Source organism: Homo sapiens, chromosome 5 (assembly GCF_000001405.40).
Source record: "Homo sapiens chromosome 5, GRCh38.p14 Primary Assembly".
Taxonomy (NCBI): domain Eukaryota; kingdom Metazoa; phylum Chordata; class Mammalia; order Primates; family Hominidae; genus Homo; species Homo sapiens.
In genome coordinates, this window is record NC_000005.10 from 100,666,400 (window position 1) to 100,681,511 (window position 15,112).

The 15,112-nt window shown below is 34.1% G+C and overlaps 2 annotated features.

Moving 5' to 3' along the window:
* Positions 993-1,193: a silencer, noted in NCBI's record as "peak5372 fragment used in MPRA reporter construct". NCBI's record gives its function as "represses an SCP1 promoter by STARR-seq MPRAs in K562 erythroleukemia cells {active_cell/tissue: K562}" and the evidence as "EXISTENCE:reporter gene assay evidence [ECO:0000049][PMID:32103011]".
* Positions 2,233-2,433: a silencer, noted in NCBI's record as "peak5373 fragment used in MPRA reporter construct". NCBI's record gives its function as "represses an SCP1 promoter by STARR-seq MPRAs in K562 erythroleukemia cells {active_cell/tissue: K562}" and the evidence as "EXISTENCE:reporter gene assay evidence [ECO:0000049][PMID:32103011]".

The following is a 15,112-nucleotide window of genomic DNA, read 5'->3' on the forward strand; positions in this document are numbered from 1 at the left end:
GGAATTATATTTGATTTTGAACAACATAAATAATACAATGTAAAGACAAAAGGAATAAATTAGGAATAAATAAGGGTGCCTTACAAAGAGAAAGATTGAATCAAAACTTAGCAATATTGCCTGTATATATGCATTTTATTAAGAGCTAACATGGCCAAAATTATTAGAGCTAATATTTTTCAATGTTATACCTGACTGTATAACCTAGCTGTTTTGCTAAATCTTTTTCATGTATTAGCTAATTTAACCTTTACCTAAGCTGTAAAATCTGTCCAATTGTAATTCATTTGACAAATGAAGACTTGGACACAGAGAAATAGACTTAATGACAGTTACCCATTTAGTAAAAACAGAGTCAATATTTGAACCCAGCAATTTGACCTGCAAGCCCATCTTATGTTGATTCCTATAGATTAAAAAAAAATGTTGATTTGCTAACCTGAAAAGAGAAAGTTGATTTTTATAGCCAATTAGCAAAATTCTGAGTGACAAGATAAAAAATAAATGAATAGTACAAAAACAGGCCTTCCTTTGAAAATAGAATTCGATTAATAGGAAGAACTTTGCAAAGATACTGTGAGCAATAAAGGACTAGAATTTATTTGCAAGATATTTTTCTTATGAAAGCACTTCTAAGTACTGCTGTTGTCCCAGAGGAAAAGTTAATGTCTTTTATATCTTAGACTTTATTTATGACACCAAAGTGTTCTTACATTCAGGAAATAGCAATACCAAATTCCCAAGAATGGGGATTCAGTGTGAAGTGCCTCCTCATGTCTCAAGATCTGTCCTCATTGCAGCTTAGCAGGATACGTTTGTCTTTGTTTTGAAATTGGATAAAAGAAGGAAGTTAGAGCAATTCATGCATGGCAATCAGTTGTCCAATTGTAGATGGCAGACAATATATCCAAATAACCTATGAAACAGAGTTGCAATTGATGTGACATCTGTATCCACAGCTAGAAAACTCATAATAGCAACATGGAGAGCCCCACAATTAGACATACAGCAAAACAATAATGGAGGGAGGATTGTGCAAGAAAGTGAGGAGCTACAAACAATAGCTGGCCTGATGATTGAAAGAATTTCCACGTTAGAAAGGATACATTTGTATTGTGTCACTCATTTAAGCATGACTCAGGATGTGGTTGGCTGTTATGAAATCTGTATTTCAGTTTTCGGAAACAGCCTTGAGTGTTTGTGTTATTTGGTTTTATCAATGCCGGAAGTAACTGCATTGTCAAAAAACATACTCCACATGTTTATAGAGATGTGAACAAAAGTCAAATTTTTGAAGAAAATTAAAACAAATGGTGATTTAAGCTTTATTTTTAATAGGCTCCTAATGTTTTCCTTTCAATGTATCTCACTTTTAGAAAACAATGAATTTTTGTACAACAAATATCCACAGTTAACTCTGAGATAGGAATACTTCCATCAAAACCTCATTACTTCTTTCTGTGCTGGTAAGTATTTACATTTCAGGTGAGCCATATAATTTAGAGCCATAGAATTTTGACTTCAAAGTTCACTTAAAAGGAGAGTGGAAAATATCAGGGCCAGGCATGGGGGTTCACACCTGTAATCCCAGCACTTTGGGAGGCCAAGGCAGGAGGATCACTTAAGCCCAGGAGTTTTGAGACCAGACTGGGCAACATAGTAAGATACTTGTCTCTACAAAAACTGAAAATAAAAATTAGTTGGTGTGGTGGTGTGTGCCTCTAGTCCCAGCTGCTGGAGAAACTGAGGTTGGAGGATCACTTGAGCCTGGGAGGTCAAGGCTAGAGTGAGCTGTGATCACTGCACTCCAACCTGGGTCACAGAGTAAAACTTGGTCTCTGAAAAGAAGGAAAAAAAGGGAAAAAAAGAAAGGAAAAGAAGATATAAATTCCTTTACAGTTAGGGTTTTAGATTACTATGTTAACTAAAAGAAAGTGTTGTGAGTGAACCCAAAGATATTCTGATTTAAATATTAAGTCTTATCTCCAAGAAAAATAAATGATGATACAGTTAATAAAGAAATATTGGTTTGGATTCACTACTACCTGGGCTCAAATGTTGATATTGCCGCTATTTAGCTTATGCATGATTGTAACCTTTCTGATCCTTGGTTTCTTGTAAAAATTTGGAAATTATAAGTACTTCATAGGAATATCAAAGGGATTAAATAACGTGATTTACAGTAGAAAGTCACTTACCTTACATTGCTGAAACAGGTAGTTGATTGGTTCATTGAAAATCAGTGAAAACAGAAAAGTATAGTATTCCAAATACTATGGAAATAGAACATGATTCACACAGGAAATGGGGAGTGATGCGTACTTCAAATATTTAGCACCATGGGGATCAGTGATAAGAGTTTCTTCTGCATATGAAGTCTAACCAGGAGCCTAGAACCTGGCTCAACTCGTATTAGATCTCCTCTCTTCTGTCTCCTTACTGTTAAGACAATGGGATCATTGAGAAATCTAAAGGTTCAATGTTTTTTGTTTGAATGGAAATATTTATTTTTTTTCTGATTTAAATATATATTTATAATGATAATAATACATGTCAAATAAAAGATAGCTTAAGCAAGAAAATAAAATAATTTCATTCTCAAAATCTATTTAATAAATAGTGTAGATAAGTCATCCATAACTGAAAAAATAGGCTCCTATTTGATATCTTTGTAACTCCAGGATATGGAATAATTTATTAATGAAATGATGAAATTATAAAGGAAATTAAATTTTAAGGGAAAAGCACAATTCATTTGATTTTATTAAAATTTAAATTTTCTCCAGTAATAGAAGACATTATTTTACTGTAAGCGAGAAAACAGCTATGGCTAGTGCAATGGCAATCCATGTAGAAAGCAAGCATCTGCATCTTCTGACCCAAGAATTCCACATCACAAGCATACCTTACAGAAATGACTGAGCAAATGCACACAGAGACATCCTCAAAGACATGTTATTAGCAACAGAATACTGGACAGTGTGCAATGGTAAAAAAAGAGATATCTAAAGATTCAACAAAATATGATGAATACATTTCATATAATGGAATATGATACAGGTCATTTCTTTAACAAACTCTTTTAAATTACCACGTCATATGCTGCTCTAGGTAACTTACAAATATTAGCACACTTAATACTTATCACAAGTCTGTCAAATAAGAACTATTAAATAATTTTATAGGTGAGGAAAACGAGGTGCAGTGAGGTTAAGTACCATATACAAGGTAGCACAAAGCTAGTAAGCATCAAAGCTATGATTTTAATTTAGTCTGTCTTCAAGCTTTAATCTTAATCACTTTGCTTTCTTGCTTCTCTGGTGATAAATGAACCAGAATCCCATAAAGTTGACATATCTCAATAACAGAGTGTTGAATGGGGAAAATATTGAAAAATGGTTAATTCAATATGATACCAAGTAATGAACGATGAAAAACAAGCCGAAAGACATTATATATTGTCAAAGAACATATATATGTAGTAAAAGTTTTCCAATAATTTTAAGAATTGAACAGAAAATTAAAGTCAAATTCAGGATAGAGACTACTTCCTAGAAAGAAAGAAAAAATAAAATAAAATTTAAAAAACATAAGGTACTTTAAATGTACCAAAATATTTTATCAGTGTAAAAAAAAACAGATCTGAAGCCAGTGTGACAGAACATTAAGATAAATTAAAACTGAGTGGCAGATACAAAGGTGTTTATTATATTACTATTTTTTAATTACTGCAAATATATAAAACTATTATAATTATTTATTCTTCTTACCAAAAATAATATTAATCTTTTGACATGGTTTTTAAAATTCTTTTATGAATACACACATCCACAATTTCTAGACACACACTTCCTGCACATGAACTCATAAACTGATTTGTAACCGACTTTAGGAAATGTATTGATAGGTAGTTTATACCATAAATACAAGTCAATAAATACAAGTCTTTAGCATGAGTGTAAGCATTTGTATTGCCTTCTATTTTACTCCAGTCATTAGTTTTTTTACTGATACATAATAGTTGTATATATTTTGGGGGCACATGTGATATCTTGATATGTGTATTCAATGTATGATGATGAAATCAGGGTAATTGGAATATACATCTCATCAAACTTTTTTTTTGTATGTGTTGGGAGCATCACAAGTCATCTCTTCTAGATATTCTGACATATACAATAAATCATTGTTAACTATAATTTTTATACTTTACTATTGAGTACTAAAACTTATTCCTTCTAAGTGTCTGTTTTTGCATGCCTTAACCAAATCTTTTGACAGCCATTATATTATTCCAATGTTTTCACTATGGTAGGCACTGCTGCAATTTGTATACTCTTATAAAGCATTTGAATTGGTACAAATTTTTCTAAATGGAAAAAGAAAAGTGTTCACACAAACACTTTGTTATTTAGTATTGGGATTCAAACAAATGTTTCTTGGTTTCTAAAAGTAAAATAAGTACAAAAAGTGTGTGCAAAAAGTAAAACGAGTCAAATAACATATAAACAAAGTTGTTTCCACTATTATAATATTATTGGTACTTTGAGTTGGAAAAGGCAAGATCCTATAGGAATATTTTAAGTTATTCGAGTGTTATTAATGGTAATAAACACTTTTCCTGTAGATGAAATCAACTGGAAAATCATAGATAGAAATCAAACTATTAATGCAAATTTCACATTGCACACACATACACATATCTATGCACATGTACATTTTCTATATATATAAAACATCTCTAAGGAGGAGAAAGCATGTTTCAGTCATTTGAATTAATTTTCTCAGCTGATACCATGATGACTTTGGTCCTTATTATCCCTCTCACTAATAGGACAGTACTGGGCCAAGTGTACCTTTGGAAGTGAATAGAAAATGTACTTTCCTGCTTTCATCCTTTAGGAAACACTTGAGTCAAATGTTTTCTCAAGAAGATGGTATTGCCACTGCTCAACGAAATAAAAGAGGACACAAACAAATGGAAGAACATTCCATGCTTATGGATAGGAAGAATCAATATTGTGAAAATGGCCATACTGCCCAAGGTAATTTATAGATTCAGTGCCATCCCCATCAAGCTACCAAAGACTTTCTTCACAGAATTGGAAAAAAAATACTTTGAAATTCATATGGAACCAAAAAAGAGCCCACATTGCCAAGACAATCCTAAGCAAAAAGAACAAAGCTGGAGGCATCACGCTACCTGACTTCAAACTATACTACAAGGCTACAGTAACTAAAATGGCATGCTACTGGTACCAAAACAGAGATATAGACCAATGGAACAGAGCAGAGCCCTCAGAAATAATATTACACATCTAAAACCATCTGATCTTTGACAAACCTGACAAAAACAAGCAATGGGAAAGGATTCCCTATTGAATAAATGGTGCTGGGAAAACTGGCTAGCCATAAGTAGAAAGCTGAAACTGGATCCCTTCCTTACACCTTATACACAAATTAATTCAAGATGGATTAAAGACTTAAACGTTAGATCTAAAACCATAAAAACCCTAGAAGAAAACCTAGGCAATACCATTCAGGACATAGGCATGGGCAAGGACTTTATGACTAAAACACCAAAAGCAATGGCAACAAAAACCAAAATAGACAGAGGGGATCTAATTAAACTAAAGAGCTTCTACACAGCAAAGGAAACTACCATCAGAGTGAACACGTAACCTACAGAATGGGAGAAAAATTTTACAATCTACTCATCTGACAAAGGGCTAATACCCAGAATCTACAAAGAACTTAAACAAATTTAGAAGAAAAAAATCAAACAACCTCATCAAAAACTGGGCAAATGATATGAACAGACACTTCTCAAAAGAAGACATTTATGCAGCCAACACACACATGAAAAAATGCTCATTATCACTGGCCATCAGAGAAATGCAGATCAAAACCACATTGAGATACCATCTCACACCAGTTAGAATGGCAATCATTAAAAAGTTAGGAAACATCAGGTGCTGGAGAGGATGTGGAGAAATAGGAACACTTTTACACTGTTGATGGTACTATAAACTAGTTCAACCATTGTGGAAGACAGTGTGGCAATTCCTCAAGGATCTAGAACTAGAAATACCATTTGACCCAGCCATCCCATTACTGGGTATATACCCAAAGGATTATAAATCATGCTGCTATAAAGACACATGCACACGTATGTTTATTGTGGCACTATTCACAATAGCAAAGACTTGGAACCAACCCAAATGTCCATCAATGATAGACTAGATTAAGAAAATGTGGTAAATGTACACCATGGAACACTATGCAGCCATAAAAAAGGATGAGTTCATGTTCTTTGCAGGGACATGGATGAATTTGGAAACCATCATTCTGAGCAAACTATTGCAAGGAAAGAAAACCAAACACCACATGTTCTCACTCATAGGTGGGAACTGAACAATGAGAACACTTGGACACGGGGGAACATCACACATGGGAGCCTGTTGCGGGGTGGTGGGAGTGGGGAGGAGAAATATCTAATGTAAATGATGAGTTAACATGTGCAGCACACCAACATGGCACATGTATACATATGTAACAAACCTGCACGTTGTGCACAGGTACCCTAGAACTTAAACTATAATGAAAACATAAAATTAAATTAAAGTTAAAAAAAAAGAAATGATAAAAATAGATAAATAAAGTGGCAGAGCCTGGGAACCTTCTCATTGAAATTATTTAAAAGCCTGCCTCATTCTTAGTACAAGTTTCAGGGCTTCCAGTGCCCAGAATCACCATTATTTACCTCAATGTCTAGAATAATTTGTGCTTTGGAAACCATTTAAATTAGCCTCTTGGTTACTTATTTATCTTAAGATTGGGAAAAAATGGGGCCGGGCATGGGGGCTCACGCCTGTAATTCCAGCACTTTGGGAGGCTGTGGCGGGCGGATCATTTGAGGTCAGGAGTTCAAGATCAGCCTGGCCAACATGGTGAAGCCCCATCTCTACTAAAAATCCAAAAAAAAAAAAAAAGAAGATGGTGTTGAAAAACATCCTCTAGTGTTGTGGTTTCAACCAATGATTTATTTGTGAACTGATGTATATTGATGTGGACAAAGTATATCAAAGTTCATTCCTCTTAAAACCTAGCTTTTTCTGCCTTTTTTTTTTTTCAGCTGAGGTCAAAAATCGGCAAAGGAGACTTACCTATCCAGGATTTTGACCTATTGAAATATTGTCATAATTTATCAAAGCATCCTTGTACACTTCTTTATAGAAAAATCTTCCTCTTTACCTCTGTGCTCCTTGTTTTTCAAGTTTTTCAGACCTAGTCATCCCTCTTGCCCATAGTAAAGTAACCAATTCTTTCTGGGTAAAACTTACCTAGTTATATCCTCTTTCAAGAAAGGAATTTCTATAGCTTTGTTTCTTATCTATAATTTAAAACCTCCTCTTAACAAATGTTTCTTATTTTTATCCAATTTTCTGACATTCATATTTTCCTTTCTACCTTATCTCTTCTGTTGGTATTTTCTTGGGATTACTGGCCCAATTATGTATCATTTTTTACATACAGACACTTACCAACTAAAGCTTCAAACACTGGATCTCTCTCAGGCAGTTAATCAAGGAAAATCGAACACACTGTGACTTCTATTTTTATATCTTTACATCTCTGCTAAAATATTTTACCCATCAAGTAAGTTTTGTCTCTATTCCTGCCAAAAATAATCAAATTTTACATTTTATTTAAAATACAATTTAATTTGTGCAGTTTTTGAGACCATTCCTGCTGGAGTCATATTGAGCATATCTCTATCATATACTATTTCATATTTATTGAGCATGTTATGAGGCAATTATTTTTTAACAATTTACATATACCATATTATTTAACTTTCATTAAAACTCTGAGTCTGTGGATCTCAGTGATTTCAAACCCAGTGCTCTCTTTTCAAAACACCTGTTTGACAATCACTTCTGTACTATCCTGAAATTAAATTCACAGAAAAAGCAACACATTTAAGCACCCAATTTTTTTTGAAAAATCAATACTACTTTCTCTTATCAAAAGATAAATAAAAGGAAAGAAATGTAATGACATGTATTTAATGTTTAAATATTTAGGTATGACTGCAATAGAAAGCTCAATGAAATAGTCAGATTCATTCACCTATTTGCAATAATTAAGTTTGAATTTCAGAGAAGGAAAGATTAGAAGCCATTATTTAAATGAGCTACAGAAAAATCAATGAGAAGAGATTTTATTAGTTATTAATACAAAAATAAGCATTAAATTGAATACACATGGACATAAAGATGGGCACAACAGACAGTACTGCGGATGACAAGAGGTGGGAGGGAGGGATAGGGACAAGGGCTGGAAAGCTACCTATTGAGTACTATGCTCCTAACTGGGTTACAGGTTCAATCATACCCAAAACCTGACATCATATAATATGCCTTTGTAACAAACCTGTACATGAACCACCTGAATCTAAAATAAATTTGAAAAAGAAGAAAAAATGTTAAGATAGAGATTCACAGAACAGGCAGATTATTGTATAATAAGAAACAGAAAAATGAGAAATAATCTTAATTGAATAAACAAACAGAGCAAGACAATTACAAACTTCTGAATTGGAGAAAATAAGAAAATATGTGATCACTTTGCCAACTTTCATTGTAAAATTGTCATTTAATTTTGGATATTTTTGTCTTTTTTTGTTTTGTTTTCTTTTGATTTTTGAGATGGTGTCTCACTCTGTCACCCAGGGTGGAGTGCAGTGGCTCCCTGCAGCCTCCGCCTTCCAGGCTCAAGCGAGCCTCCCACCTCAGCCTCCTGAGTAGCTGGGACCATAGGCCTGTGTCACCACAAGAGGCTAAATATTTTTTGTCTTTTTGGTAGAGATGAGGTTTCACCATGTTGCTCAGACTGGTCTCGAATTCCTGAGCTCGAGTGATCTGCCTGCCATGGCCTCCCAGAGTGCTAGAATTAAAGGTGTAAGCCACCCCACCTGGCCTGTTTTTCTTACTTTTACTTCATCAGGAAAACAAAAATCCTGGCTAAAGACCTCTAAATTTAATTTATAGGAAGCACTATAGGACACAATATCAAAAATTAAAATAACAGTTGTTGAGTTTTTTATACTACTGGGCGTTTTCAAATACAAATCTGTGTGTGTGTGTGTGTGTGTGTGTGTGTGTGTGTGTGTGTGTGTGTGCGCGCGCGCGCATGCGCACACACGCATATCCTGTGAATGAAGCAAACACAAATGCAGAATGATACAAATGTATGGTTTTAGCAGCTCTCATGCTGGCTTTTCCTTTGGGGTTTTTATTTCTGAAAAGGTAAACCTTTTTTGATAAAATTCAGGAAATAAAAGTACAGTAATTCCTTAATTCATATATAAAAGTAGAACATTCAATAGAAACTAAACCTGTCTGAATTGCGTACATATGTAAACAGAGGTTCAGACTCATATAATTCTAAATGGATGTTAAAACTAAATTTCCATTCGGACATTAAAAAATTTGTAGGGGTGCAGGATTTTCTCAGCACTGAAAAATCATTTGCATCATGTCCCTCCCTCAAATGCTAGCAGTGCCTTCAATCAATGCAGAAATCATTGTTATATTTTCAGTTTCCAGGACTTGTTTACTAACTGGAATGAAAATATAGAGGCATGGTAGCTAGTCAGTATCTCTGTATGCCCTTAAACTGCCTAGCAAAATATCTTGCATGTAATGGGGTAATAAATAATAATTTCCCAGTTAACTGAGAATTCAATTCACCTCTTCATTGAATAGCTGGCTTACATTGGATAAGAGAGCTTAAATAAATCAAACAATGTGCATATGGCATAACCGTATTTCAAATGTAGGCCCCAGTCATATCTAAATGCATCAGCTATCTGATTATTTTAACTCTTGAAAAAGAGTATAAATTGTGAAATCTCAAAAATATTTCAAAAACATTATCATCGCTCTTGAGAGTATGATAAAATAAAATGCGTTCAGATACCTTTTATCACACCCAAAAAAGTAAAAAAGCATCAGATCTGCCAAGCACCCCAGCCAACTGTGACCCTTGTTGTTCTAATTGTGTGTTTTTCTGTTATGTGAATACCTTTGACAAGTCCCCTCCCATTTTGCTCCTGGATTGTATATCTAGTTAAATACATTTAAAATTATTATATTTTTGTAAGACAAAACTGTTTAACATCAAGGAAGCTGTATATATGTATATACATAAATGAATAAATGTATATGTATATAATGTATATGTATGTACATAAATGTATAAATGTATGTGTATATATAAATGTATACATATACATATACATTCTCTCCATATATAGGTATCTCTCTATATGTCTATATATATGTAGAGAGAGAGAGAGAGAAATTAAGCCAAGAGGTTTTCATGCTGATGATAGGGCAAGAATGGTAAAAATTGAATTGGGACACAATTAATCCATGGCTAAGGAATCGAGGCAAAGCCTTATTTTATAAATGTGGGTAGACAAATTTATGTCCAATCTAGTAGACCTTGTGTTGTTCAGACATTGGCAACAACACAACCACAGATTTTCTTCTGAGGTTCCTGTGGTAACTGTAGCTTAATTTAGTCTCCAATGTGGGTTGGAAGATGTTGAATAGAATCATGCTTTTCTTGCCAGCTTTTGACCAAATAAATGTCACTTGACTATACCCCCATCCCTCCAAGTACATTACGTCCAATCTATAATTGTGGGCATTATGACTAACATTTTTTTACTCTTTTCCCCCAATTTAAGTTTCCATCATGGATCCCACAAAGCATATCCTGTCAAGTCCAGTGGCTAAGCATTTGTGGTAATTTCATTTGAAATGTGTAGAAGATTTATAGCTTTTCATTAATGTTAATGGTTCAACTGAGTGAAAAGTATATTCAATCAAGTGCTCCTTAAAATGGGGTTTCTAGACTTCACTCAAACACAGCTGGTTTCGAGGCAGAGTAAAGCAAAGCTTATCCCTGCCAAAGTACATATGCTTTCTACAATTTAAGGAGTGATTTTTAAAGCACTGACTCACTTGCCAAAAATCTAATGTATTATTTATTTTGCTTTTGTGCGTGTAGTAATTGGCAAACTAGAAATGATGGAGAATTATTCAGTCATCATCTCTCTCCCTTCTGGCTTGGCACTCATCGCAGTAGCTAATGAATGCAGTGGTGGGAGGTTATCTGTCATCTTGCAGCTACTGGGGCTACTTGTCATTAGTTTTCATAGATACCTAATTGTTGTTGCTGTTCTGCCTCCTGGGCCAACTAGGATCTCAGTGGCTCATCTAGAGACAGTATTAGTTCAATGGAGCACTTTTATGGCAGTTACATCAGTTCACTTATAGGCTATACATTTGTATTTACTTCTAGATATGATAACAGATACAAATGTTCCTGAGGCTAAAGGTTAGAAACCATGATAATAAGGAAACCTAACTTATCTTCAGCTTTCAGCCAAAAATCATAATCCTGTTTGTAGCCAGTATAAATTAAGACTTGTCATGTTGTAAGTTCAAAAATAAATTCTTAAACTGTTTGGTTACAAAGGAAACATTCTGGTTGAAATATCTTAAAAGTCCAAAAGTAGAACTGACTTTATGCCTGGCTGGATCCATAGGCTCAAACAATGTTACTAAGATCTGATTTTTCTTCATCTCTTGGCTTGCTCTACCTTAGCTATATTCTTAAGAATGCTCCTCTTTGGGGGGAAATATTGTCGTCAGCAGTCTAGATTCATGTTTACCTGGTTCCAGTTCCACACACAAACAGCACCAAAAAAAGAAAGAATAAAGAATAAGGAGAGTGAGAGAGAGAGGGAGGGAGGGAGAGAGAGAGAGAGAGAGGGAGGGAGAGAGAGAGAGAGGGAGGGAGAGAGAGAGAGAGAGAGAAGAGAGGAGAGAGAGAGAGAGACAGAGAGAGACTATAAAATATTCCTTTTGTTCAACAATAAGAGAAAAGATTCTAACAATGTATGTTTTTGCCTCTTCATAACTCATGTATTGTTCCCTGAACCAATCACTGTAACTAGAGGCATGCGTGTTGCGATTGGACAGATCTAAATCCACGTTCACTGCTAGATTGAGGATGAAGTTAATAATGCCATAACTTCTTGATCTTAAAAAAATCAAGGTGATTTACCTGCAGAAGGATGAATTAATAAATATTGCAACCCCTCCATCTGGTCCCTGCCTTATCAGAAGAAACAAAACACATTTTAAAAAATCAGTTATCTATATACTCTTTAAGATGAAACCAAAGTCATCTTTTGATATACTAGGTGGTCTTTAGGTCTCATCTAAAGATGGAGCTTGGGGCTACAAATAATATGAGGGTCCGGAGACACTTCAGGAGACCACTCTGTATTCTGAGAGGAGCTCAAGAGATTCTTAACTCTTCTTATTTTCTAGCTCCACAGAGAGAAACTATTGAACCTCTGAATGTATCTGAAAATTCCCATGTGGAGGAAGACTACAAGAAGCTTTTATCCTAATTACTATCCTTTGAGATGATCTGTAGTACCCAAGAGCTCCAGAGCCACATTACAGTTTGGGTCTTAGACAGAAGTCTCTGGCTTTGCCCCAGTTGTGGATGTAGTATAAACCTGAAATTTGTCACTCTTACTATGGAGCTAAATATTCAAAAAAAGCTTTAAAAAGGAATGTAACTAAGGCTAAGGTAAAAACAATATATTTTTATATAACTCTGGGTAAGAACTAGTAAATAAAAGAAGTACACTGTAAGCTCTACCGATTTTAAAAAATATTTTAATTGACATTAAAATTTAATATATTTATGGGATACGATTTGATGTTTTGATACATGTCTGTGTTGTATACTGATCCAATCAGGGCAGTTAGTGTACATATCATCTCATACATTCATTATTTCTTTTGTGATGAGATTATTCCCTCCCTTCTAGCTATTTTGTAATGTATAATATTTTACTATCAATCATAGTCACCTTACTGGGCAATAGAACATCAGAATGTCTTCCTCCTATCTAATTGTAACTTTGCACCCATTAACTAACCCCATTCCATTCTTCCTTTCCCAGTTTCTTGTATCTAGTATCTATCAGGTAACTATTATTCTACTCTGCTTCTATGGTAGCAAGTTTTTTGGGGGGTGGGGTGGGTGGGAGGTGGATTTCACATATGAGTGAGATCAAACTGTATGTGTCTGACTTATTACACTTAACATCATGGTCTCCAGGTTCATTCACGTTGTCACAAATGACAGGATTTTGTTCTTTTTCATGACTGAATATTATTCCATTCTGTACATATAGCATATTTTCTTTATCCATTTATCTATTCTTAAAGACTTTGATTTCATATCTTGGCTATCGATATCTTTTCAATATATTGGTGTCATTTCCTTTGGCTCTATATTCAGTAGTGAGATTACTGGATTGATTGTAATTCTATTTTTAATTGTTTGAGGAATCTCCCTATTGTTTTTTATAATGACTCGACTAATTTATGTTTCCACCAACAGTGTGTTTGTCTTCCTTTTTCTTCATATTCTCAACAATAGTTGTTTTCTTTTATCTTTTTGATAATAGCCATCTAACTAGAGTGAAGTGTTACCTCATTGCAGTTTTGATTTGCATTTCCTTGATGATTAGTGATGTTGAGTATTTTCTCACATATCTGTTAGCCATTCATATTTCTTATTTGAAGAAATGTCTATTAAGGTATTTTTCCCATTTTAACCTTATTTTTGTGGGGTTTTTTGTTGTCATTAGATGATGATGATGATGATGATGATGAATATTATCACTTTCTTTTTTTTTTTTTGAGACAGAGTTTTGCTCTTGTTGCCCAGGCTGGAGTGCAATGGCGCAATATTGGCTCACTGCAATCTCCACCTTCCAGATTCAAGTGATTCTCCTGCCTCAGCCTCCTGAGTAGCTGGGATTACAGGCAACCACCACAATGCCTGGCAAATTTTTTTGTATTTTTAATAGAGACAGGGTTTCAACATGTTGGCCAGGCAGGTTTCGAACTCTTGACCTCAGGTGATCCACCCGCCTTGGCCTCCCAAAGTGCTGGGATTACAGGTTAAGCCACTATACCCGGCCTAGACTATTTATACATTCTGAATATTAGTAGTGGGTTTGTTATATGTGGCTTTTATTAGGTATCTTCCATACCTAATTTGTTGAGAGTTTTAAATCATAATGAGGTGTTGAATTTTCTCAAATGCTTTTTCTCTATCTATTGAAATGATCGTATGTTTTTTGTCTTTCTTTCTGCTAATCTCGTGTATTACATTTATTTATTTACATGTGTTGAAACAAACTTGCATTCCTGGATTGAATCGCATTTGATCATAATGACCTTTTTAATGTGCTGTTTAATTCATTTTACTAGCATCTTAAGAATTTTTGTATCTACGTTCAGCAGGGATATTAGCCTGTAGTGTTGTTTGTTTGTTGTTCTGTCCTTGTCTGGTATTGGAGTCTGGGAAATGTTGGCCTCATAAATTGAATTTGGAAGTTTTCCCTTCTCCTCAAATTTCTGAAATAGTTTAAGGAAAATTGGTACTAGTTCTTTAATTGTTTGACAGAATTCAGCAATGAAGCTGTCAGATCCTGGGCTTTTCTTTGACAGATGGCTTTTTATTTACTGATTCCATTTCTTCACTCATTATTGATATGTTCAGATTTTCAATTTCTTTATAATTTAATCATAGAAGGTTGTATGTGCTCCACTGTTTATACATTTCTTTCATTTTGTTCAAATTTGTTGGCATATAATTGTTCATAGTAGTCTCTTATGACCCCTTTTTTATGGTATCAGTTGTCATGTATCCTTTTTTATCTCTGATCTTATCTTTATGAGTATTCTATTTTTTAGTCGAGTAAAGTCTGAAAATGTTTGTTTTTCAAGAAAACATCTCTTCATTTAGTTAAATTTTGTGTTGTTTTCTTTTAGTCTCTATTTTATTTATACTCTGAATTTTATTATTTCTTTCCTTTTAACAATTTTATATTTAGTTTGTTTCTGTTTTGCTAGTTCTTTGAGGTGTATTATTAGGCTGCTTATTATAAATCTTTCTTCTTTTTTGATATAAACACTTATTTCTATTAGCTTCCCTCTTA